Source organism: Homo sapiens, chromosome 5 (genome assembly GCF_000001405.40).
Source record: "Homo sapiens chromosome 5, GRCh38.p14 Primary Assembly".
NCBI lineage: Eukaryota > Metazoa > Chordata > Mammalia > Primates > Hominidae > Homo > Homo sapiens.
Genome location: NC_000005.10, coordinates 60,483,635 through 60,509,243, shown reverse-complemented (window position 1 = coordinate 60,509,243; position 25,609 = coordinate 60,483,635). Strand labels below are relative to the sequence as shown.

At 38.6% G+C, this 25,609-nt stretch overlaps 1 protein-coding gene and 1 long non-coding RNA gene across 13 annotated transcripts in view; one reads left to right on the top strand and one right to left on the bottom strand.

The window, feature by feature from the left end:
* The window catches only part of PART1 (prostate androgen-regulated transcript 1), a 59,945-nt gene extending 38,414 nt beyond the window's left edge, over window positions 1-21,531 (bottom strand). Inside the window, exons 1-2 of one of the 3 annotated variants that reach the window (NR_028508.1) lie at window positions 20,821-21,312; window positions 17,979-19,583 (exon numbers count right to left, since the gene is read on the bottom strand). This is a non-coding gene — a long non-coding RNA (prostate androgen-regulated transcript 1). Of the gene's footprint in view, window positions 1-17,978; window positions 19,584-20,820 lie in introns of those variants that run through there. The other 2 variants (NR_024617.1, NR_028509.1) reach the window with 2 other exon arrangements.
* Window positions 1-25,609, top strand: part of PDE4D (phosphodiesterase 4D) — a 1,553,091-nt gene that overhangs the window by 12,885 nt on the left and 1,514,597 nt on the right. For 7 of the 10 annotated variants that reach the window (NM_001165899.2, NM_001349243.2, NM_001349241.2 and 4 more), the window contains exon 1: window positions 21,179-21,302. The exons of 2 other annotated variants lie outside the window; for them this stretch is intronic. The gene's annotated coding sequence lies outside the window, so the exon portion shown is untranslated. Of the gene's footprint in view, window positions 1-12,957; window positions 13,106-21,178; window positions 21,303-25,609 lie in introns of those variants that run through there. One more of the 10 variants, NM_001364599.1, reaches the window with a different exon arrangement.

The following is a 25,609-nucleotide window of genomic DNA, read 5'->3' as shown; positions in this document are numbered from 1 at the left end:
TGTTTTTCACTGGTGATTTTGTCATGTGAAATGGCTTCCAAGCATAGTGCTGAAGTGCTCTCCAGTGCTCCTAAGCACAAGAAGGCTGTAATAAGAAGAAATCTGGCCAGGTGCCCTGGTGCATGAGACCAGCCTGGCCAACATGGTGCAACCCCATCTCTACTAAAAACATAAAAATCAGCTGGGCCTGGTGGTGTGCACCTGTAATCCTAGCTACTCGGGAGGCTGAGGCATGAGAATAGCTTGAACCCGAGAGGCGGAGGTTGCAGTGAACCGAGATCATGCCACTGCACTCCAGCCTGGATGACAGAGCAAGACTGTGTCTCAAAATAAATAAATAAATAAATAAATAAAAGAAAAGAAAGAAAGAAAAAAAAAGAGAAATCTGCATGTTGGATAAACTTTGTTCAAACATGAGTTATAGAGCTGCTGGCAGGGTGTTTAGTGTTAATGAATTAACAATATATATTAAAATAAGCTATCTTTAAATAGAAACACACAAAAAACAAAGTTATGTATTGATTAGGTGATGAAAATATTGTGACCAGAACTTGCAGAAACCTGATCTTACATTTCCCCTGGGAGCAATGGTTCAGTATTTGCTAATTCAGTGTTCTCAGTGACTTTATAGAATGTAACTGCCACAAATAACAAGAATCAACTCTGTAAACATTTTTGTTGGTCAATGGATATGCATGTTTAGACATTTTGTAGAATTATAGTCAACCCAAGTGAAATGGAACTCCTTTTATTTGACTTGGGAAGTTGCTCTATTCTCTTCTGTTTCAAACAAAACTCTAAATAAAATCCTCTTTTGTTCTGGTTTATTTTAGCAGATGTTTACTGGTGTTTACTGGCAAATGTGTTGAGTAAGTTAGGTAAAGTTGACCTAGACACAGTTTTTGCTCCCAAGGAATTCTCAATTGATCATGGAAGACAGGAGATGTGTGTAATCAACAGTATTGACATTAATTTGTATTCCTGGAACAGGTATCGACTAGAGTCAAAGAAGGTTTTGGCTGGTCCTGAACAACAAGGAACCCAACGTAGGTTCACAAAATAACCACATATTGTCCATAGAGTAGGTGTCTACAACATGCTAGTGAAGGTTGACATTATCTTAGAGCTTCGGGGATTTATAGATGGAAGGGATCCTACAGGCCCAGTATGTGACAAGGACCTGAGCATGTTTAGATGTAGAGCTAGAACTGAAAACCAAGCCTCATGGCTGAAACTGAATCCTTTCCCACTAAACCATACAGGCTCTATGCGCTCGAACTAGTTATTGGAGTCCCGGCTTAAAATGAGCTCATGTTCCAGAAATTCCACTTAGGTCAGATGTTTATAAGTCAGTCTGAGGTTGTTCCAGGATGAGCTCCAAGGGGTCTGTTTTGCTGTATATGAATATTTTTATAGAAGGAAGCTCATAAATTTTCATGTGATTCTCAAAGGAGTTCATGATTCCAAAAAGTCTAAGAACTTCTGTGCTTATTCTGAGGTTAACTGTGCACCACAAATACTAAATTCTATTTGGGGTGGTGTCTTGACATTGTATTTTGTATCCCTATCAATCTAGCAGAAGATTTTTTTTTTTAAATAAAGAAAATGCTCACTCTTGGCTAGGATGTGGTGAAACAAAACTTCCTATATTGTCAGTGGCAGTATAAATTGGTATGAATTTTCTAAAAAGACATTTTCCACTTTTTGCACCAGATACCAAATTTGTCTTTCAATAATATATTCTAAGAAAGCAATAAGAAAAAGGAAGTAATTAGAAATTATGTATAAAGATATTTATAGCATTTTTGTTCATAATATGAAAACTAGGAATCAAAGTGTCTAAGAATTACAGTTTTAAAATATCACTTAGGCCGGGTGCGGTGGCTCAAGCCTGTAATCCCAGCACTTTGGAAGGCTGAGGCAGGTGGATCGCCTGAGGTCAGGAGTTCGAGACCAGCCTGGCCAACATGGCAAAACCCTGTCTCTACTAAAAATACAAAAATCAGCTAGGCATAGTGGCGGGTGCCTGTAGTCCCAGCTACTCAGGAGGCTGAGGCAGGAGAATAGCTTCAACATGGGAGGCAGAGGTTGAGCCGAGATTGTGCCACTGCACTCCAGCCTGGGCGACAGGGTGAAACTCCATGTAAAAAAAAAAAATCACTTAATATTATGAAAAACTGTTTATGACAAGACATGATGTGAAAATAATCATGGCATATATAGCATAATCACAATTTGTTTATGTGTGAACAGAATAACATGTTAACAGAGGTTATCTTTTGCTAATAGGACTAGAGGTGTTTCTTTTCCTTTTTATTTTTTCTTTTTGTATTTTTCAAATTGTCTAAAAGACTATATATTTTTATAATCAGAAGAAATATTGCAACCATATTTTGTCCCAGTTGAACTATGATTTACTTACGGGAAGTCCTATCCTTGTTTCTTAGTTTCTACATTTTAAAATGTCTCATCATTCATTTTGGCTGAAAGTTAAAATGCAATCTCAGTTATTTCACGTTAATTCAATTACAAGCCCTTCTCTTCCCACAGTATCATTTCATCTTAAACCTTCATACTCAGCCTCCTTTGCAACTCTGGCCTCTCTTGCTTTCCATTCCTTTTTGTTCTTTCTCTGATTAAAAAAAAATACTAAATTCTGTCTGCTTTTCTTTGACAGCATTAGCCTTTTTTCTCCTCTGCTCAGAATATAATTTTTGCTATTCAGTTTTTCAAATATTTACCACTGTTCCCTTTGTTTCTTTATCCTGGTTTTTAATTTTGTAAGGTAGAGGAAGCATTCATGGAATAGTCTGTTCCAAACCTCAGAGCCTCAGTAGTGCTTTTGCATTAATTAAAAAGTATGTATTCTTTTTGGGATTTCCCAAAGTATTTTCCCATTATATCAGGAACACATGTGTATATGTGCATACATAGGGTATGCATGAGAATGAGTGTATTCACGTGTGCATGTATGCATTCATGTTTGTGTGCATGTTGGTGCATACATGTGCAAGTTGGTGTGCACTTGTGAGTGAATACATGTTCCAGTTCTTCCAGAACAGGAACTGTGTCCTTTCCTATATGCCCTACGCAAGTAGACACTGCAATGATGCTGACTGCCTGTTTGCCTGTCTCTGTATAGCCACCTTTCAGAGCTTGCCATCTGGATCTCAGACAGTATGCAGAGGAGAGGAATGTTCTAATCCACCCTGGTACCAACAGGCTGGCATCTGTACTTTGAAAGCTTTGATGAAGAAGATGCAAATTGTGTTGGCTGTGTGGGCTTTTCAGCTGCTTCCTGACTGGGCTAGAGACAGGCAGCATAACTTTTAATCTCTCCAAAAGCCTGCCAACTGGCAAAGAGATACATGTATTAGATAAGATGGTGGATCTCGATTTATATATGTATGAATGCAGACTGAATTAAAATGGCACCCTAAGGGAGAAGCCAAGGACCAAATCAGGAGACCCTCTAACTGAGTCAGAAATCAAGGCCAGGATTTATAGGATGAACATTTTTAAGTGTACATTAGAATGTAAAGTAGGTATTTGTAATTGAAGTACTATGCTTATTTTATTTCCATAAACCTAAGGTCTGGCTTCGAAGTGGCCTCAGGGTATATCCGTCAGCACTGAGCCTTGTAAATTTGCCTGCTAAATCAAACCTATGATGAAAAGAACCAGGCAAATAACACTGTCTTGCAGTGTGCAAGTCCCGTGGCTGTATTATAGAGTGCTCAGCTCAGTGTTTCACAGTGGAGAAGAACGTACGTTGATATGCTTTCTGGGTTTGAGAGCTCTTCCTTCTTCATCCAGAAGACAGAGCTGGGTAGAGAAAAGGATAACCAGCAAGACAAAGGCTTTATCCCAATATTATATGTTTAAAACTCAAAGAGATATGGTGAAAATGGGACTTTATTAAATTTGCCTGATTGGAAACAAACATGCAAATTGTACAAGATTCCTAAATGTGCCAAAATGGCAAGGAGAGAGCCCTGACGAGCATGGAGAATAGTGAGTAATGCTTATGTCCTAACAGTGCCCCTTGCCTTCATTGACCTTTGGAAATATTGTGAAAAAGTCAACCTTTTCTATTCTGTCTGTATAGTCTTACAGTGTTTCCTCTCTTTTTCTCCCTCTAGGGAGTTATCCAAAGCCCCCTTCACAAGAAATGCTAGCTTTCAGGAATAATCAATCAAGCACACCTTTGAGCAAATGTAAGATTTATGTTCATTCTATTTAGATATTTGATTTTGACATTGTATCCTTTATTTTGGAACAAAATGAATGTCACCTACATGCAGACAGATGAGGCATTTTATGCTTTTGTTGGGGGAGGATAGGTTTAGGGGAGCTCTCCCATTTGCAACCCGGCTTTAAACCCCACGTGGCATGAAGAAATCAATTAAACAGACAGAAACTCTTCTGGGATTGGGAATCTGGCTTCTCATTTAAAAGAATATCCCCATTTTTCTAACCATAATAAATTTTAATTTTCAAGTAAAAGCCATTACGTCAATTTTAATGTCAAATACATTTTAAAAAGAAGATGCAGACTGTTGAAAAGATGGTGGAAATGATTACAACCTAAGCTTGGAGCTTACTGAAGTCAATCAACTTCAACCTGGAGCTTGCTGCAGTTCCGACTGCACTTAGATGGTTTTGCTTTAGTTTCCCCATTTTAGTGTAGCAGAGGCTGTTTTGTTACCTGATCTTTTTTTGTAGAGAGAATGAAACTGCCTGAGGGACAATACAGTGCACTGGAGAGGGATGAAATAAAGTCTCAAGAGCTGCTTGTACTATACCACCTACCTCAAACAGCAGATGTTACAGAACTGCTTTTAAAAAAATGTTGCCTTTCACATGTCATGCTAAAAATATATACCTAAAAAGACCTAAAAAAAAAAACCTTAAAAGAACTAGAGAAGCAGGCTGTAGTTATACAAAAGCTATATGCAAGATCATGGAAGCAAAAAAAAAATGCATAAAGACATATTAGAGCTTTCTTAAGTTCCAAGGGAGCTTTTGATAATACATTCAAAACATAAATGGGAAAGTCATCAGAGAATTGCATAGTCCCCAGGAGACTGCAGAAGGCTTTGAAATGGATTTAATAACATTGATGGGTCGGATAGGAAGCCCTTATTCCCTTTGACTTATCATCTTTCTTTTCTTTTTAAAATTCACTTTCAGGAAATAGTTACATGATCAACTCTACCTGGCTGACTCAAATTTGGTTCTCGGTTTGAACTCTAGTTATCTGTATATCTTACAGCTGTCCCCTTCAGTTGCTTATCATGTGACTTGTCATTCTGACTGGGTTTGAAGCTTACAAAGGTCAAGAAACACATCTTTCATATCTTTGGAATTTCCTCTGTAATTTTGATACCCTGATTGTGTTTGCAGATGGTGTTTAACAAATGTTGCCTGGCTCACTGGATACTTCCAGATTTTAAAAAAAGTTAACAGAATGATCTTCAACTCTGCTTCCATTGTTAATATTTATGTGCTATATTCTGATAAACCCGTAGAAGACCAGATAAGACAAAAGCAGGAGAAACAAGTTGTAGATACAATAGTGAGCGTGTAAAAGGCATTTAATAATGCCTTGACATGAATAATAAACATACCAGTAATAAAGATACAACAACCTTACGTTTCCATAGATTCTTGATTCCTCTAAAAGCACTTTCATATAATAAAGGACAGAGGGATAAAGGGAGGAGTAAATATAAATGCAAGGAATACCAAAGGAATGTAGACATGAAAAAGCAAGAGGACCAAAGCAAGACAAAGAAAATAATAGCCAAGAATAAAGAAATTGAGGGAGAACTTACTAATAACTTGGAACAGTTGTTGGCTAAACAGCACACATAGCAGAGTATCAAATAAATATTGACAATGTTGGTGTTCTTGTAGTGAGTAGAATATCCTATAGACAGAATACTCTAGGATATTCTATAGACAGAGTATTCTGTCTATAGGGTATTCTGCCCTGTTTATGTTTTGTCTTGTTTTCTGCTGAGTTATTAGGGAAAGGAGTATCGTGGATTCCCTCACTTTCTTTCTCTTCCATTTTTATTCGTGATGGTTAATATTGATACTAGTATGGCTATCTTTACTCCAGATAGTCAATCCACATCATCAAAAAGATATGGACGTTTGAGTGATACTCAACTTCAGTAGCTTAGTTCAGTGATTTCACAAAAGCTCAGTTAGGCTTGCTGCTGAGAGCATAAGTGAATTTTGCCCTTGTTGTAAGGTTCTAAAAATTTCCTAACCTTAGGAGGCAGGTCTAAAATTATTGTCTATAATGCTGAATATAGTAACTTATTATAAAGAAATTCTAAGAAAATAAGACATATCAACTATGTTATAGAACTGATATTAAATCTAGAACTGAAAAAAATACAGATAGAAAAGTTCTGCCTGTCATGTGCTAGAGGCTACAAGAGATCCCTAAAACACTTTTATTACTGCTTTGAAGGGATAAGCTCCCTCCAAAAGCATGGATCAACTATTTTAGAGATTTAGAGATTGACACTGCTGTTTTGGCAATAATTCTACCTTCATACTTTCAGTTCTGGATCAGCACAGAAAACTCTCTCCTTTGTCAGATTGAAAACCTGTAGCAGGGGGACAGCCAAGATGGCCGAATAGGAACAGCTCTGGTCTACAGCTTCCATCAAGCTACCAATGACTTTCTTCACAGAATTGGAAAAAACTACTTTAAAGTTCATATGGCACCAAAAAAGATCCCGCATTGCCAAGTCAATCCTAAGCCAAAAGAACAAAGCTGGAGGCATCACACTACCTGACTTCAAACTATACTACAAGGCTACAGTAACCAAAACAGCATGGTACTGCTACCAAAACAGAGATATAGATCAATGGAACAGAACAGAGCCCTCAGAAATAATGCCACATATCTACAACTATCTGATCTTTGACAAATCTGAGAAAAACAAGCAATGGGGAAAGGATTCCCTATTTAATAAATGGTCCTGGGAAAACTGGCTAGCCATATGTAGAAAGCTGAAACTGGATCCCTTCCTTACACCTTATACAAAAATTAATTCAAGATGGATTAAAGACTTAAACGTTAGACCTAAAACCATAAAAACCCTAGAAGAAAACCTAGGCATTACCATTCAGGACATAGGCATGGGCAAGGACTTCATGTCTAAAACACCAAAAGCAATGGCAACCAAAGCCAAAATTGACAAATGGGATCTAATTAAACTAAAGAGCTTCTGCACAGCAAAAGAAACTACCATCAGAGTGAACAAGCAACCTACAGGATGGGAGAAAATTTTCACAATCTATTCATCTGACAAAGGGCTAATATCCAGAATCTACAATGAACTCGAACAAATTTACAAGAAAAAAACAAACAACCCCATCAAAAAGTGGGCGAAGGACACGAACAGACACTTCTCAAAAGAAGACATTTATGCCACCAAAAAAACACATGAAAAAATGCTCACCATCACTGGCCATCAGAGAAATGCAAATCAAAACCACAATGAGATACCATCTCACACCAGTTAGAATGGCGATCATTAAAAAGTCAGGAAACAACAGGTGCTGGAGAGGATGTGGAGAAATAGGAACACTTTTACACTGTTGGTGGGACTGTAAACCAGTTCAACCATTGTGGAAGTCAGTGTGGCGATTCCTCAGGGATCTAGAACTAGAAATACCATTTGACCCAGCCATCCCATTACTGGGTATATACCCAAAGGACTATAAATCATGCTGCTATAAAGACACATGCACACGTATGTTTATTGCGGCTCTATTCACAATAGCAAAGACTTGGAACCAACCCAAATGTCCAACAATGATAGACTGGATTAAGAAAATGTGGCACATATACACCATGGAATACTATGCAGCCATAAAACATGATGAGTTCATGTCCTTTGTAGGGACATGGATGAAATTGGAAATCATCATTCTCAGTAAACTATCGCAAGAACAAAAAACCAAACACCTCATATTCTTACTCATAGGTGGGAATTGAACAATGAGAACACATGGACACAGGAAGGGGAACATCACACTCTGGGGACTGTTGTGGGGTGGGGGAAGCGGGGAGGGATAGTATTAGGAGATATACCTAATGCTAAATGATGAGTTAATGGGTGCAGCACACCAGCATGGCACATGTATACATATGTAACTAACCTGCACATTGTGCACATGTACCCTAAAACTTAAAGTTTAATAATAATAAAATTAAATTAAAAAAAAAAAGAAAACCTGTAGCTCTGGTATCATAGTGGCTGTAGTGACTGGTTGAATGATTTAATCTATTTCAGCCTCAGTTGCCTCAGCTGTTAGAGGAGTTAATTATATCAGTCCTGCCTTATAATCATAGCAATAATTCCCATTTCCAAATGCCTGCCATGGGTCAGGTTCTTGCTATGTCTTTGGCACATATTATCTTTAAGTCTCATCAACTCTGCAAGGAAGGAACAATTGTCATTCACAGTTTACAGCTGAGAAAGCTGAGGCTCAGATTATTTCAGTAAGCTGCCTGAAGTCATGCAGCTAAGTGGCAAAGCCAGGATATAAACTTCATATGTATGTTCACAAAGTCCCCGCTTAGTCCTCCATGGAATTTTTAGAGTTATTTAAAATGACATGTGTGAAAGTGTTTTGAAAATAGCAAAGTTCCTTGTAAATGCATGTTATTATTATCATACTGATGAATATAAATTACTTAACATCTATTTACCAAGTTCCTTATAGATATTTAGCACTGAGTCAGTTTTCATTTTGGACAATCTATGGAATTAGTTATTTCTCTAATGTAGTATTACATAAGATGCATTATAAATAAATCTTAAATATTTTCAAGTGGAAATTTCTTCCATCCTTGGGACCAGGTTCTTCCTTCTTCTCCTTCTTCTTCTTTTTTATTTTTATTTTTTTGAGACTGGGTCTCTGTCACCCAGTCTGGGATGCAGTGGCACAATCATGGATGGCTCACTGCAGCCTCGACCTTTTGGGTTCAAGTGATCCTTTCTCCTCAGCCTCTCCAGTAGCTGGGACCACAGGTATGGCCACCACACCCAGCTAATTTTTTTATTTTTCTAGAGATGGTGTCTCACTATGTTGCCTAGGCTGATCTCAAACTCCTGGGCTCAAGTTATCCTGTTTCAATCTCCCTAAGTGCTGGGATTAGAGGTATGAGCCACCACACCCAGCCTGGGTTTTAGTTTCTTTTTGATCATATTTGGAGAAAAAAAGAAAAGAAGCAAATTTGCTAATCAAAATTGAGTGAATGTTTCAAGAAACAAAACCAATTAAATGTAGTCCAACCTTGAGAATCAGCAAGTAAAAACCTCTGAAGCCAAGAGGGCTAACAGGAAAACTGAAGGAGAGGAGAGAAATATACCATAAGCATTTTCAAACCTCTGCTTCAAATTCTTGTATTTATAAATGGTCTGGGCCAGCAGTGCAACTCTCCCTGTCTCGCTCTTTGTTGTTTATTTTTTGGAGTCTTTAATGACCAATCGGGTTGCTGAAATTTACTTGAAGAGTTTATTCTTGATTCTGAGGTATAAGATTTTCTGTGTGAAGATGGCTGGGAATCCACACAACTCTCCTAAAATAAGCACCAAGTTTTGGAAAGAATTTTCTCTTGTGGAAAACATCCATTTCCAAAGAGAGCCATCAGCATGAGATTGCTTTTTTTTCTTTTTAACCGCCCCCAACCCAAGGAGAAAGCTGAGGGGAGTCAGTCTGTGAAGCAGCCAGGAATCAACTTTCATGACAGTTTTAACATTCAAGGCAGACTTTTCCCTTGGTCTTTTGGAAGAACTGCTGAAATCTCAATGAAAGTTCATGAAATTCTGTAGAGGAATCAGCTGAGTCTAGAAATAAGCTGTTCCTTATTGTTTCCTCTGTTTCCTTATATATAAAGAGTGGGTAAAAAGAAGCACCTTGGAAAGTCATTGTGAGATTAAATGGCATAATGCATGCACATCTCCTGGCACAAACTAATCACCACTGTTGTGTTCTAAGCCAGTTTCCTAAATACACAGATCCAGTTGTTTTTTAAGTCTCAGTGTGAACTGTTTATTCTGTTTGGCCCATGTGGATATCTAAAGGGTTCACAAAAATGCTTTCAAATTGATAAAATATGGAGGAAGCCGCTTTTCTAGTCTTCATCAAGGATCTGCGTTGGGTGGAATAGAATCTTTGTTTGGGTTTGGTAAGAGTTTCATGATGCAGGATTTTATAGAGAGGGAGCTAATGCCATTGGGTGGCTGATCACCTAGGTGGAATGAATGTGGGGCCACTCATCCATGCATTTTTCTGCAGGTGAGATGGGATAGGTAGCCCTTGTACAGTTCTTCTGTCAGAGATCTTGGTCACATTTGAGTCTCTGCTGGGCTAAGGCAGAAGCCCTTATAGGAGGATAGGACCACTACCTGGCCAGGCTTGGTTTTCTTTAGCTCAGAGCCTGGAATTGGCTAAATTTGAACAGACAAGATTAAAAAAAACAAGCTGATTATACAAGTGATATTGTAAAGAAAAAGCTAGATACCATAAGAGCTGGATACCAGCCCAGTGTTGCTGTTTGGATTTGATCATACTCTCTTGAGTACAGGAACAAGAGGGCAGCCTAACATTGTCCCTGAAGCCCTCTGCCCACAGCCAGTCAGATCCATGTCCAACCTTAGCAGCTAGGATGCTGGCCATCCCTGTGGCCCAGGCCCCATTTGTACAAGTTCTGGGACTGGGGTGAAGGTATTCTTGTTATAATGCCTTTTTAACACAATTCTGGCCTTTTGGGAGAGAGAGTCAATGTTTTACACTCTGGGGACTCAACTTGTGCTCGGATTCACCTTTGGCAAGGGTCCTTTAGTGGAATGGACTCTGCCCAGGGAGTCAGTGGACTGCTGTTTGCTGGTTGATTTTAGACAAGTTACTTTATGTTTGTGGGCCTCATTTTCCTCTGAGCAAAGACATCTCTAACCTGAGTCACAGCACAATCTTTGTGGTCTGACTCTGTCTGGGGCATGGAAAATTGTGTGTGTGTGTGTGTGTGTGTGTGTGTGTGCATGTGTGTGTCTCCAGTCACTGGTTCTGGGGATGTTCCTCCAAACTGTTCTTGCCTTCTTTCTGTTATCCAAACTTTTCTGTGCAGAAGAACAAGATTTAAGTTTGAATGGATCATTGTTTCTTTTCGGCTAAACAACTGCTGATAGTCAGAGGATGACCTATTTCTGAAGCAGACGACCAAGGAGAAATTTATGGATTTCTATTCTTTAGACTTAACCAGTGTTCCTTCTTGGAACATATGTTATGGAACTTGACTAATCGCCCTGGCAATATGTTGCCAAAGTTTTCCTGGCAATAGATCAAAGTCTGTAATATACCAGCACATCAGCTTTGCAGAGCTCAGACAATGAGAAAACAGGTAGGGGTGGGAGAAAGCACTTGCAATTAATTTTGGAGTCAGATTTTGATAGAAAAGTAGAAAGAGGATAGGACTAATTGACTTCTGAAAGAATTACAGGTGGCTGGTGTGCCCCATGACTCACACTGTAATCTAAATACTTTGGGAGGCCAAGGTGGGAGGGTCTCATGAGGCCAGGGGTTTGAGATCAGCCTGGGGAACATAGTGAGACCCTGTCTCTACAAAAAATAAAAAAAATTAGCCAGGCTTAGTGGCATGTGCCTATGATCCCAGCTGCTTGGGAGGTTGAGGTGGGAGGATCACTTGCAACTGGGAGGTTGAGGCTGCAGTGAACCGTGTTCACACCACTGCACTCCAGCCTGGACAACAGAGCAAGATCCTGCCTCAAAAACAAAAACAAAAACAAAAAAAAAGAAAGACAAAAAAGAATTGCAAGCGGCCAATACATAAGAGAAGATGCCTAACACCTAACCCCCCAATTAGCATTGTGATTATAAAGATAACAATGCTATCATTTCCCCACATCATTTTGGCAGAAATGTGAATGGATGGTTAAACTCGGTGTGCCTGTGAGTTTGATGAAATGGATGTGCTCATACAACTACCTGATACAACCTTTTGGAGGGCAGGTGGCTGATACTTACTGAAATGTGAAATGTATAATCTTCTTGCCCAGAAATTCTGGGTCTAGGACTTATCCTAAGAAGACAACTATACAAATGTAAAAATACATTTATGTAGTATGTTTGCAAAAGCATATTCATGGGGAAAATGAGAAATAACTTTAATGTTTATCAATAGAGAACTGGTATAGTAAATTATGATAAATACCTACTGTGAAATCCTGCATAGTCAATAAAATGATGGTGTAAAGCTTCATATATTAATGTGAAAAATTATTTAATGGTACAAAACAGGTTATGAAACACAACAATCACATTTCTATACAGTCATATTACTAGAAATATGGGAAGTTGTTAATTTAAATCTGAACAGTTAGAATTTCAGGCTACCTTTACTTCCTTTGCTATTTAACTGTTTCCTCTCCCACCTATCAACTCTATGTCCTTAGGGAAACTTATTTAACCTTTCTCACTCTTGGTGAAAATGGAGATAATACCAAACTCTTAGAGGTTGTTGTGAGAATCAAGCAATAAAATACATGTCAAGCACCTAGTAAAAAATGTATTTTGATTTTTTTTTGTCATACACAGTTTCCTTTTTTTCTTTCATTATGTGAGTACAAACAGCTGTGTTCCTATGCCCAGATTCAAAGAGAGAAAGCTAAGTGGGCTTTTGAATAACTTCCACTTATTTTAATGCAGGGAAAGCTCTAGTTCCAAATATGTGGAACAGTATTTTCCTAAGGCTGCAATGTGTCAGAAAAAGACCATATTGAGTCATTGTTTTCTGAAGCCAAGACAGGAGATTGAGAGACGGATGCTGATGGGCAGCCTAAAATAATATTTCATTCTTGTCATCCTTAGGCAGTTTAAGACCAAGTCATTTTGGATAGATCTACAGTTTCCCTCTCGGTTTGGAAGAACAAAGCTTTTGTTATTTATGTTCTTAAACAACAGCGCTTTGTCCTATACTCAGGAGCGTGCAAAGCAAACAGAAGATTTCCTGAACGGCCATCCCATTTATGGTGAGGAGTCAGTCCAAGAGGTAAGTAGACATACTCAGCTGCAACCATCTGCAGAGGGCCCACATTGGCAGCAAAAGGAAATAGCCAAGACTCACAGGAGCACAACAGCCAGTCAGGTTTGGGATTCACTTCTCTGATACTGTGCCAAAGTTGGTGGACTCAGCCATTCTGAAACTCACTGTTCACTTGGGGCCTGCTTTGCACAACAAAACAAATAGCCCTGTTTTGCTTTCCATGTCTGAGGCAGAAAAATAAAAATGGCAATATTTTGAGTGTTTTTACATTGGGAATTTCTGGTCCATAGATAATTATTTCAGATACCCCTGTGTAATCTTTTCAGAGCTGTTGAAAACTGTGGAATAGGGGATAATTAGGGCTCAAGAGATTTCATTAATGGTTAAAGGATCATTAGAAGGACACGTACTGTATCCCTCTTCTTATTTCTCTTCCTGCACTAAAACAACTCCTGGCTTGCTACCATACTTCCGCACCCATGTGCAATTTTCACTTAGCAAAAGGTCAAGTCTAAGTAGAATCTATGAAGTTGGGATTGATTCTGATTGGTAATAATGCTAGCTAGCAAGCATTGAAAATTTGTACCAGGTTTTCTGTTAAGTAGTCTGCATGCACTATCTCAATGATTCTTAAGGAGTGGTCCATAGATCACTGGCTTTACAAACATTGACGCATGGTGGTGGGTGTGGGCAATGAAAAGGCAGATTCCTAGATTCTACTCTAGATCCATGGGATCAGCATCCTGTAGTGGGAGCCAGGGATCTACCATTTTAGCAGGTGCCTTGGGTCATCATCCTTATGCACATGACATTCGAGAGCCACTGTGTTATTTCCTAGTGCAACTGTGACTCAGTGTAATCTGCTTTCTTTCCACTCCTCTGATTTCTGTGTGTAAATTTTCATGACAAAAGTTAGACAAAATACCATGGACTGAAGTTAGATATAGAGCAACTCATGTCTCTTTTAGTTGCTGGTGATTGCAAATGTATCTCCATGGCCAAATTGCTTTTGAGGCACTATATGTGATATTTATCTGTATTGTGGGAAGGTTAAAGAAGTGAGAACTCTTTCCTTGCTTAGTGGTGGCCTGTGCTCTGGAGGTAGAGAGGAAGACACAGGGGCCATGGAGGTGGGACTTACAGGTGTGGTACAGGTTGTATAATCATGATGGTGACCCTGCATGGAGAAGGGAAAGCTTGACCTTTTCCTTGGCTCAGGGCTATGCAAATAGGGCTGGCCCATTTCTGAGAGGGGAAGGTAGCTGATATGCAGGTGTGATTCCCTAGGGCCCAGAAAGACCTGCCTGCCTTCTGCCTTTGTTGTCATGCTTCATGAGGCCTGAAATGTTCACTGGTGGTTATTTCTCTGGTTCTCAGCTTTAGCTCTAGAAAGCCCCTATTGAAATGACATGCCACTTGGAAGATAGCAGGACCATTTACTTATATTTTCACAGACTGCTTTAATCTGCTACTCTGGGGATGGCACACAAAAAGATTTAGTTGATGGGAGGGAGGTTAGGCCCCTTTGTGGGCCACAAAGAAGAATCTGGGGAGCCCAGGGAGACTATTCTGGGGGTAGAAGTGAGGAGGAAAGGCTCTAAAGACAAACTGGACCTATGTCACAGTTCCGAGGGCTGTCCTCCAGAATACATTGTTTTCCTGAAATTCTCCAGCCCCTTCCATCATTTTCCTCTCAGTGAATGTCCAGTGCTGAATAACTGCCCCCTTAGTCACAGGACTGGACTGCAGCAGTGCTGCAGGTGGTGAGGCTCAGTGGCACAAGTGGCTCTGGGAGGGAATCTTGATGTCGGATTCTGTAGCTGCACCAGCAGAGGGGGAAGAGGGAGATAATTACCCACCTCTGAGTCTGAGATCCCCCTACCCCCAGTGCATTCTTCTGCCAGGAGCAGGATCATTAGAATAAGTGAGACTTAGCTTAGCTCATTCAACTCCTTGCCAGGCCCCATGCAAAGCTTTCAAACTTTCAAATATACGATCATTTCTAGAGACTATGTTGGGATCCCCTGCATTTCTTTATCCATTTGTTGAGAAGGACCAGAGATGATGCCTAACTTTAGCCAAGAGTTTGTCTGTGGGTCCGATAAGCCTCACATTTGATTTTATTGGAATTTTAATCTTGCAGAAAGTACCCTATGTTTCAATTTTAAAGCATTTTTTTTGTTAAACTGAAAACATCCCTCAATTTTTCCAATGTTCGTTTGTCCTCTAGTGCTAATTTATGTGGTAAGTGGTACTGGTTCATTAATTTACTCAGGAGGGTGTAACCACCTTTCATGGAGAAGGGGTGGCTAGGAAGGGGTTTCTAGTGAAGGAATTCATTTTTCTTGGTCTTCATGGTGGGTGCTGGGGAAGGGTGTGCAGTCAGAGGGGCTGCATTTGCAGAAACATGGCTCTGTGTGTGAGCCTGGGTTCTCAGGAATAGGAAGCAGGTAGGTGCAGTGGGTGGGTATTCATGTGACAGTGGAGGAAGATAAGGACAAAGATCATGCATGAGTAGTGAATGAATGAATGAATGAATGAATGAATGAATGAATGAATGATTGTGTATAGAAGTCCATACTCCTTCTCTGGGGTGGCTATTCCTTCACCAAGCAGACTCTGTTCTTTCTTCTGCTGCTTCTTAGTGAGCACGTCTAAGTCTCAGTTGATATTCTCTTGCTCTGAGAAATTTCTCATCAATGGGAGGAGAAAATATAATTCGCTTCAACATAGCTCATATTTAAGCTGAGAATTCAGCATGAATTCCAGACATGGTTCATGTATTTTGGATAATCAGCATAGCTGTTCATGATCGGTAACCCTCTTTTTTCTCCTCCTTCAAATCGTTTTTGGTTAGGTTACCATGACTGAAGATTAATGACTTCCATTATTTTTTTTCCCTCATGCAGGAATGTTTAAACTAGTCTAAACTTTGTACCAACTATCATATGAATCATGTCTACTACTGTTACCCCTTGTGTGTCATGTCCTGGGTTAGTGTCCTTGCATGACACAGCAAAATACAGGGCAGGGTTAAAAGTGTCAATTGAGAACCAGGCAAAAAACTGATGATTAATAGTGACCAACACACTTCACTGTGCTGTTATCTTAGAGGCCTTAAGGCAAAATCTTACTTACAAATATTAGTTGAAATGCAATATGTGATGTTAGTAGACACATTTCACCACATCTGGCAGTTCATTAATTCACCTTCATTTTTTTTTTCTTTTCTTCTTTTTTTTAATCTTTTTTTTTTATACTTTAAGTACTAGGGTACATGTGCACAATGTGCAGATTTGTTACATAGGCATACATGTGCCATGTTGGTTTGCTGCACCCATCAACTCGTCATTTATATTAGGTATTTCTCCTAATGCTATCCCTCCCTCAGCCCCCTACCCACTGACAGGCCCTCGTGTGTGATGTTCCCTGCCCTGTGTCCAAGTGTTCTCATTGTTCAGTTCCCACCTATGAGTGAGAACATGCGGTGTTTGGTTTTCTGTCCTTGTGATAGTTTGCTGAGAATGATGGTTTCCAGCTTCATCCATCTCCCTGCAAAGGACATGATCTCATCCTTTTTTATGGCTGCATAGTATTCCATGGAATTCACCTTCATTTTCAATATTGTGTATATTTATTGCAGTGAGCTTAATCCTAATAAAAACAATTTTATTTCTATTTATTTATGTTTTTTCAATTTTTTCTTTGAGACAGGATCTCACTCTGTCACTGAGGCTGGAGTGCAATAGCACAACCATAGCTCACTGCAGCCTCCAACTCCTGGACTTAAGTGATCCTCCCACCTTGGCCTCCCAAGTAGCTGGGACTACAGGTGTGTGCTACCATGCCCAGCTATTTATTTATTTGTTTCTCTTTTTTGCAGAGATGGGGTCTTGCTGTGTTGCTCAGGGTGGTCTCAAACTCCTGGATTCAAGTGATCCTTGGCCTTCTAAAGGGCTGGGATTACTAAAGGGGCGAGCCACCATTTCTAGCTGACAATTTTCTTTTTTTTTTTTTTTTAATTATACTTTAAGTTTTAGGGTACATGTGCACATTGTGCAGGTTAGTTACATATGTATACATGTGCCATGCTGGTGCGCTGCACCCACTAACGCGTCATCTAGCATTAGGTATATCTCCCAATGCTATCCCTCCCGACAATTTTCTTTTAATGAGCAGTCACCATATAATAGGCTCAGTTCTAAGCATGTATTTGCCCATTTAATCTTCACACCAGCCTAGGAGGTAGTTACTGTGTGTGGCACCCTTTTATATAGGAGGAAACTGAGGCATAATGCTGTTAAGTAGCTTGCTCAGGGTCTAACAATTAAGAGTCAGAGCTGGGATGTGAACCCAGGTGGCCTGACTCCAGAGTTTCTACCAACCACCATGTTATACTGCTTTACATGTTTAAAGCAAAGATATGGTTTTAGCATCAAATATTAAGAATGCACTCCCCACATTTTTCTTATTAAATGTAATTGCCAGTTTTTGTATATGTCATTGTCCTAATGCTTTCGAGAAACTTAGACAAAGAGCAAGACCACAGATAAATGGATCCTTCTGTTCAGGTCTCATTACCTAGAAGAGTTTTGACTGCAATATATGAGTACTAAAAGTTGATGGTTTATGCTAATTTTAAGTGTAATATATTTTAGAATTTTGTCACATGCATTATTAATATGATTTCATATTCATGGCCTTAGGAAGATTAATTTAAACAATAACAACAAGAACAACAACAACAACAAAATACAACAAAAAATTTCCCCCATGTGCCAAGAGCAAATTTTGAGGTCCATTTATCCAGATAAAGTGTTTTGTTATCTGAACCAAGAACATGAACTTTATCTTTATAGTGACCACAGACTCCCATCTCTAGTATCATGATTTTTAATTTGAATTAAAGCATTTTTTTTTGCTTTGTTAAGATGAGGCAGGCCTTCTTGCTGACATTTTAAAAAGCAACTATTTTTCTTTCAGTTTACACTATGAGGCATTGGCTCCAACTGTCAGCATTGAAACTGTCAGCAGTTCCCTACCAGGAAACTGGTTCCAAGGTCTAGGGTTTCCTTAGGTAGAGGCTGGCACTGTGAAAATAATGGGGCTCTTTATCCATGTCACCTGGAATGGAGTTAATACCCTGCCAGTCTTAGTTGATTTGACATACTAACAGGATGGGTCTGAACGTTTTCTATAGTTTACTCATGAGTGACTTTCTTTGGCTTACGTAAATGGCAAGGCCAGACAAATTAGCTTATGGACCTAGCAATCATTCTTGGCCCAGATTTTGAGACACTTTTCAATCAACCATAGTTGCTCTAATACCTGAGATTTGCTGACAGTGCTTGGTTCAGAAAAAGGTTCAGTTTCCTGAGCAATTTTTCTTTTATTGGGATCATCTTAATTCTTGTTTGCGGGGTTAAGATGAAGGAAATATGAGCAAGGACTGCACTCAGCTATTTGGGTGACCCTTGTATACCATGAGCTTCTTAGATAGGGCCTGATGTGATCACCAGAAAACATTAATTGATCGTGATGACAGGAGATAGTCTCTCTAGCCAGAACCTGCTAATACAAGTCCTGATGAATTGAGAATGATGCCTGAAGGAAGCAGACTGACGTGGTGCATTAGTAATTTTAGGCAAAAGAAGATAATGGTACTAGTATGTATATTTTTTAGTTTCCTTTTCCATTGCTTTGTTTTGCACAGGCTGAAGAAAATAAATGTAAACAGCATATTATGGTGGCTCAGGGTGGATAATAATGGGACATCACTTCCTTTGTTTCAGTGTGAGGTTGCCCCTGCTATGTGACAGCTCCAAGGACTAAAGATTTCAATCCCCAGAAAAATGTCGAGTCCCAGTAACATGTTTCAGGTTATCATGATTATTATGATTATAGGAGGGGAAGAGCAGTGCTGGTCTTTTAGAAAGTTCTCATCATGAATGTGTTCTGGAGTGAACATCACTTACTAACAGATGAGCAGCTTGAAGTTGAGTCAAACAAAACTTTTAGTGTTTGTAAGGGTCAGGGAGCCAGGGGACAGTCTGTAACTCAGTTGTATATTGACACAGAGAATGTACAAAAGCTGTGAAAGCTTCCACTTGAATGACTGCGGATGGTTGCTGGTGACGGTCTTGGACAGTAAGGGTTTTCTTCGGAGTTGTAGGAGGTGAAGTCTTCCTATGGGAAATTTCTGGACAAAAATACAAATGAAATGACTTGCAGGCCTCAGTTTAGAGTATTGTTGGCTTTGTCTGTCAACAAATGGAGATTTGAACATGGGAGTTCAAGGGGATTTTAATGAAATTTTATTAAGGAGATGAGAAGCAGGGAGTCTGTGTTGAAAATTCAATAAAGGGCTTGTTTTCCATCTCAGCCTGGATAATCTATGTTATCTCTGAGTAAAGGGGGTAACAATTCTAACAACCTGGCTTCCTTAGAAGTTTCCATTCTCATATAGTCACCGAAGGCAGCAGCACTGTCAAATAAACAAAGGTTTAATTAAATAAAAACTATTTAAACAGAGCAGAAATATTCTTCCCTGGCTAGTCACAGATTGGACAATTCAAAGAACAAACCCTGGGGGGAAATTGCCAATGGATTACTTTTTCTGTTTTCTGTCTATTGCAACGTTTTTCTTTCTGGTGTCAAATCTCAAGTTGAATTCAGTCAATTATCTACAGCCAAAAAAAGTGCATAAATGTCTCTTCTGTTACTGTTTATATGTCACCACTAAATAAAGCAAAATTTTCTTCTCAGCTTCTTGCCTTAGGATTTTATAAGTCCAACAAAACAAATAAAATATTATGTATATTCTATCGTCACTATGAAAGCATAAGGATTGATTTAGTTATGTACAAGTTTATTGCCAAAGTTTTTCTTCGTTGCTAATGTTACACTTGCTACAAAATGTATTAAAGAAACAGACAATTTGCTAAGGATTTGGAAGGATTTGTCATTGGGTTAAGTACATTAAGTATCTAAGGGGTGTGGTGTTCTGGTTATGTGTATGTCAGTTTCACATATTTTTTTGCTTTCTTATTTTAGTTGCCTCTATAATCATTTTGACTTTAAAATGTTTTCTGCAGATCCTTTAATAACTGCAAATGTAGAAGTATGGTGTAACAAGTAATTGGTATGACTAACACTAAAATGTAATGGGAAATAAGGATACTATTGTAAAGAAAACAAGAAAAACCTGGGGTAGGGGAGCAGTATTGATTCTCTCTTAGGATTCCTAAGATTCTCTGTCCCAACCCTTCTACCATGGAACATTCTTATGTGGTCTAAGTGTCAAAGACCAGAGGAACTGGGCAGTAACTTATCTTCTCAATTTTCTCTCTGAACATAGATATTTTCTTTAAGATACGAAAAACTTTTAATTGTGCTCCTGAAACCCATCCCTGTCCTGTCTCAGCCCCGTTGACTCTTCTTTCTGTGGGTGGGTGAAAAGCCTACCCATCTGCAAAGGTAGCTCTGAAACTGTTCTGGAAAATCCTGTATTTTCCTCCACAAATGATCGTTTTAGTTTCAAGTTTATTTCAGGTACATTAATTCTCCCCCTCCTCAGACTTCATAACAAATGATCCTGCACACGATTAGAATAGGAAAATGTAAAATAAAATCGAAGCATATCTAGTTGCCTCAGCGACTTTATGCTTATCACTTTCAGTCTGCATTATTCTACTAAAAATAAAAAGAAAGATGAAAATTACCTCAGGCGTTTGCTGCCGTGCCTGCCCTTTGGTTTCTGGGACGGCTCGGGTCCCGTAGCGCCGGCACAGCTGAGATTGCCAAGCCGGGAAGAGACCTTGCTCCAGGTGTAGCTGCGTTTTCCCCAGATCACCTGTCCTTTTCCCCTCCGACAAGGAAGCTGTGATTTTTCTCTGGCCTTTAGAGGCAAAGTGATTCCAGATAAGTAGATTAATGTGTAGAATATCTCATCTGTGTTGTTCCAGTGCAGCCCTTTCAGCTTTCCAGAGCCAGTTAGACTTGTTATGAGGAGCTAAGTGATTGGCTGGCTCTGGAGCTCAGTTTCATAGATTATAGCCCAGCGTACGAGAAGCACGAGTCCTATAGTTGGCGTACCCTGAGGCCTGCCAGTTCCTGCCTTAATGCATATGTAGTCGTAATTGAGTTCTGACACGGCCTTGGATGTTTCTGTCCTAAATAGCTGACATTGCATCTTCAAGACTGTGTGAGTAATCCTGATATTTTTTTTTTAAGCTCAGTAAATTAATTACATGCCCTGGGAGGGAGTGATTGTAAGTAGAAAATACTGAACTAGCAGATGATTCGTTTTTAAGGTGCTATACTATGTGTATCAAGTTCAAGACGATGAATCTTAAAGCTTCTAAGAACTGGCAGGGTTATTCCAGCTTTGTGCCATGAATCACAGTCAAGCTGCATTTTGAAGGAGGCTGTTTGATGCATTTGCTAGCTCTGTTTGTTTTATGGGGTCAGTAAAGTGGCAGAGGTCCAACAGGAGCAGGTTAAAGCAGGATGCTGGGATCAAAGCTTAGAGAGCACTTGAGTCAGGCAAGTTTTAAGTTTTCCCACCCCCAAGCATCTCAGTCCAAAACTGAGAGCAAGCAGCAAATATTATAATAAATGCTTTGGGGACAGGGGTACACAGCAGATAGGGCACAGTAACAGGAGAAATGTAAAATGATGGCAGCAATACTTTTGTTCACTGTAATCTGCAGCCAATTGAAGACATACACTATGAATAACTAAAACATTTTTATATGAACAAAAATGCTCTTCAGTGGTTCTGTTTATGTGGTAGAGGGCTGAATGAAAAACCATGCGCTTGTTGTAAAAAAGCCTTATAAAAAGTACATTAAACACATACAGACACAACCATAACAGAAGAAAGTATGTGGATTGGAATTTGTGATTGGAGCAGATCAAATTAAGCCAGGGAAGCCGTTATTAGGTTTGTATGATTGCTGGGGGGTAACTTCTGTTGCTGACAAGGTTTAGGATAAAGCTGGAGCAGATTGAAGTGGAAAACCAGAAAACATCAGCATTTCATTACCTTCTATAGCATACACTGCAGGGTAGAATTAATACTGAGTATAGACTGGTAAATGTGAGCAGTTTACTGTTTGCTTTTAAATCATTATTGATTTCCCCTAGCCTATCATAAAAAATAATAGGGCTTTTGCCTATGAAATTAGTGCTTAGAAATATTTTTCTTCCTCCCAAATAATTTTTATACTTTTTCTCAATACAGCACAAAGGTAGGTCATTAAAAATAAAGGGGTTCCTTTTCAAGTTGCTTTTTGTCTAATTTTTCCTCTTTAGACCTGTAGATACAAATGTATGTATTTGTGCTATGTATAACTCTCAAGCATAAATCATTTGAACAGTATTTAAAATCACAGGCTCCTGTGGCAAATATAAACTTTTAATAGCTATAGTTGGCAATTACTTGCCAATTCCTATAAAAATAACATTAGTGGCTTATTTTTGATTGCACCTAAACAACTGGCATGATTTAGCCAGTAGGAGAGAAATATTAGTTGTGTTTTGCATAATTTTGTGTTTAGATCACACTGGAAATACAAAGTTTTGTTGTTAAAAATATTTTTGCTTTCTGAAATATTATCCCCTTTCAGATCACACCAATGAATGAAGTTTGTAGAAAGAAAGAAAAGTAGCCAACGTAGACTCCTTTTCTGTATCAATCAAATATATGCAAAATACATAGATTTTTAAAAATGTAATTTTAATACATTCCTTTAGAAACACATTTACTTCATGAAGAAACAGTATAATGAGTTCATTTATTGACCCAGAATAGTGAGTTGATTTATTGAGTTTCTGTAGCCATAGACACGAATAGTAATGGTTGGCTCATTCTTAGCTATACATTCCTAACTGACTGTATTAGTGGGAGAAAGGAGTGCATCTATAAAATAAATATAATCCCATCCCTCAAGGTGGTCTGGAGCCCATCTAAGAGTAAGAAGTAGTAGAGTTGAAGCTGCTTTATCTGAATCAGCTCCTGACTTCAACTCAGCTCCTCTTTTTCCTTAGGTCCATGTGGCCCACTTGGTGTAGTATTCACATCTCCTTCCACCTTTTTATGCCTTCATTGTTTACATTACCTTGCTTGGGCTCTTATTGAGATGAATCACATAAAAATGCTTAATTATCAAACATTAATCAGCTGCCTATATAATTCAGAGGATGTTTAAAACCAAGGCTCAAGGAAATTCTGGTGGGTGTATACTAGGAGTATTTACGTCTTGCATCGGTACTTTCCTCTGGGACTTCCATCACTTCAGTTCTTCCTGAGATGCCAGAGTCATATCTCTTACTTGTGAAAGAACAGAGCTTTAAGAAATGGAGTCTAGAGGTGCCAGGTGCCCAGTGGACAGTGGGCTGGGGGCAAGGCATGGTGGGGAAAGCAAAAAAAATCTCCCAAACAGCAATAGTTGATCTTTCTTCTATCCACTCCTCTCAATTTTCTAAAACCATTTTTGTCTAACTGTGGAAGTTCTTTTGCAGATAAGGTTCTGTAAAACTATGCATATCTGCCATAGACAGATGGATTTGACGAAAGATGTATCCAAAAAGGAATGTATCACATCATGAACTTGCTAAGTGTTCATGAATACACACTGGCATTTGGAGACTATTAACACTACCTACTGAAGCAAAGACATAAATCCAAATTGAAGAAAATATAATTTTTTGATTGAATTACATTTTCCAGTGGGTTTTTTTTTTTTTGGTGAATTTTGTTTTTGGAAAAATTTGCTCTTCCCTCCAACGTTTTTCCTGTGTTATATATAGGACTGATTTGATTTCTTCAGCTTGCCCAAGAATTTAATAATTCTTACTTTGTGTTTTCAAAAGAGTTGCTGTCTACCTTGAGCATGTTTTTAAAAAAGCAGAACAAAACGAATGAAACAAATGTCCCTCTTCCCACAGAAAAAGCACACCACCAAGGAGTTAAATGCCCTACATTTCTTTAAGTCCCTCCTTTTGTGGAGCTAGACACTGGTAGAAGAGGAGCTTTCATTTAATTTCAAGACAATCAGTGATTCCAACTTAACTATAACTGTGTTCCTCTAATATCTGATTTCAAGAAGCAGAACATTTTGGTGAATTAATCTTAGAGTCAACGGGACCACGCTCAGGCCATGAAACGTTTTCTAAGCCTCAGTCTCTATGTCTTTAAAATGAAAATAATGATATATGTTCTGGTATTTTACTAGATTGGTGAATATCCACATCACAATGAGAAAGTGCTTGTCAAAAGAACATTGTAATGTGTAATTTGTAATGTGCTGTACATGTACACTATTATTATGACTGTAGCTCATCACGCTAGGGTTAGGACTCTTTACTTCTAAAACATATTCCCAGTAATGGACAAAACTTTTGAAGCAAAGAAAATCTTCACTGTTTGATCCTAATGTTATGAAGGCTTTTGGACCTTACATTTGTTTAAGCTCCCATTGAAGCTCCCATTGGAGCTTCAATGCTGATCCATCTATTACTTGAGTATTAAAAATACCGATAGGTTTACTGTGATAAACGAATGTGGCATTGTATGTGAAAACATATTTAGTAAACTTCCATGTGCCATAGTCGTATAAATATTACATATTGCAACAATTATCAGTATATTAATAAAAATTCTTTGCAAATTTTCAATTTTTAAAATGGAAAGTATCAGATATATTTCTTATTGATTGGATTGACTAACTTTCTAAGCTATGTTTGCTTCCCTCAAACAGGATGAATGTTCCTGTTGGTTAAGCTTTCTTTCCACTTAGATACAGCACTAAGCCAATAGTTAGATAAGCATTCCTTCACAGCCTACATTTGGAGCTGCCAATGACGAAGTTTTAGAGGACATATTTTCCTCACAGGAAAAAGTGGGTTAGGAAATTTAGACTGACAGATGTTCTTGGGTTTTTTTTTTTTTTTTAATTCCTGTCTTGACTCTCATTATTAAATTTTGCTAAGGAAATAATTATGTAGGTTTTGAGGTGATGCTTATTCCTAGTAGTCTTTTCATCTCAGGGATGCAATGAATGGTCAAAATGACCTTCTGAATGATTTGAAAGATCAATTAGCAGTTTTGAATCCCAAATTTTTAGGTGGTTCTGCTTCAGAAAATCATTATGCTTTTTGGAATAATGTCCATAGCTGCATCCTACATTTCAGTGGTTTCAGCTCACTGCTGTTATAGTTTGATGATTTCCTAACAGCAATATTGGTTATGCTAAAGCAGTTCCCCATTTCACCTGTTGAACCCTTTTTAAAAGATAGAAGAAATTATAGAGGAATCACAATAAGTAAAACGTATTAAAATGGAGTGGATTATCTCCACTTTTATCTCACACAGCTCACCCAGAAATTCATGAGAGAACTTTCTAGGAATGAAACAATTTCATTTGTAGTAGTATTTGAAAACTGGATCTAGGGCCATTGACCTGACTTTTTTGTGCCTTTGGTGATTGGATAAGAACACTTCTTCAG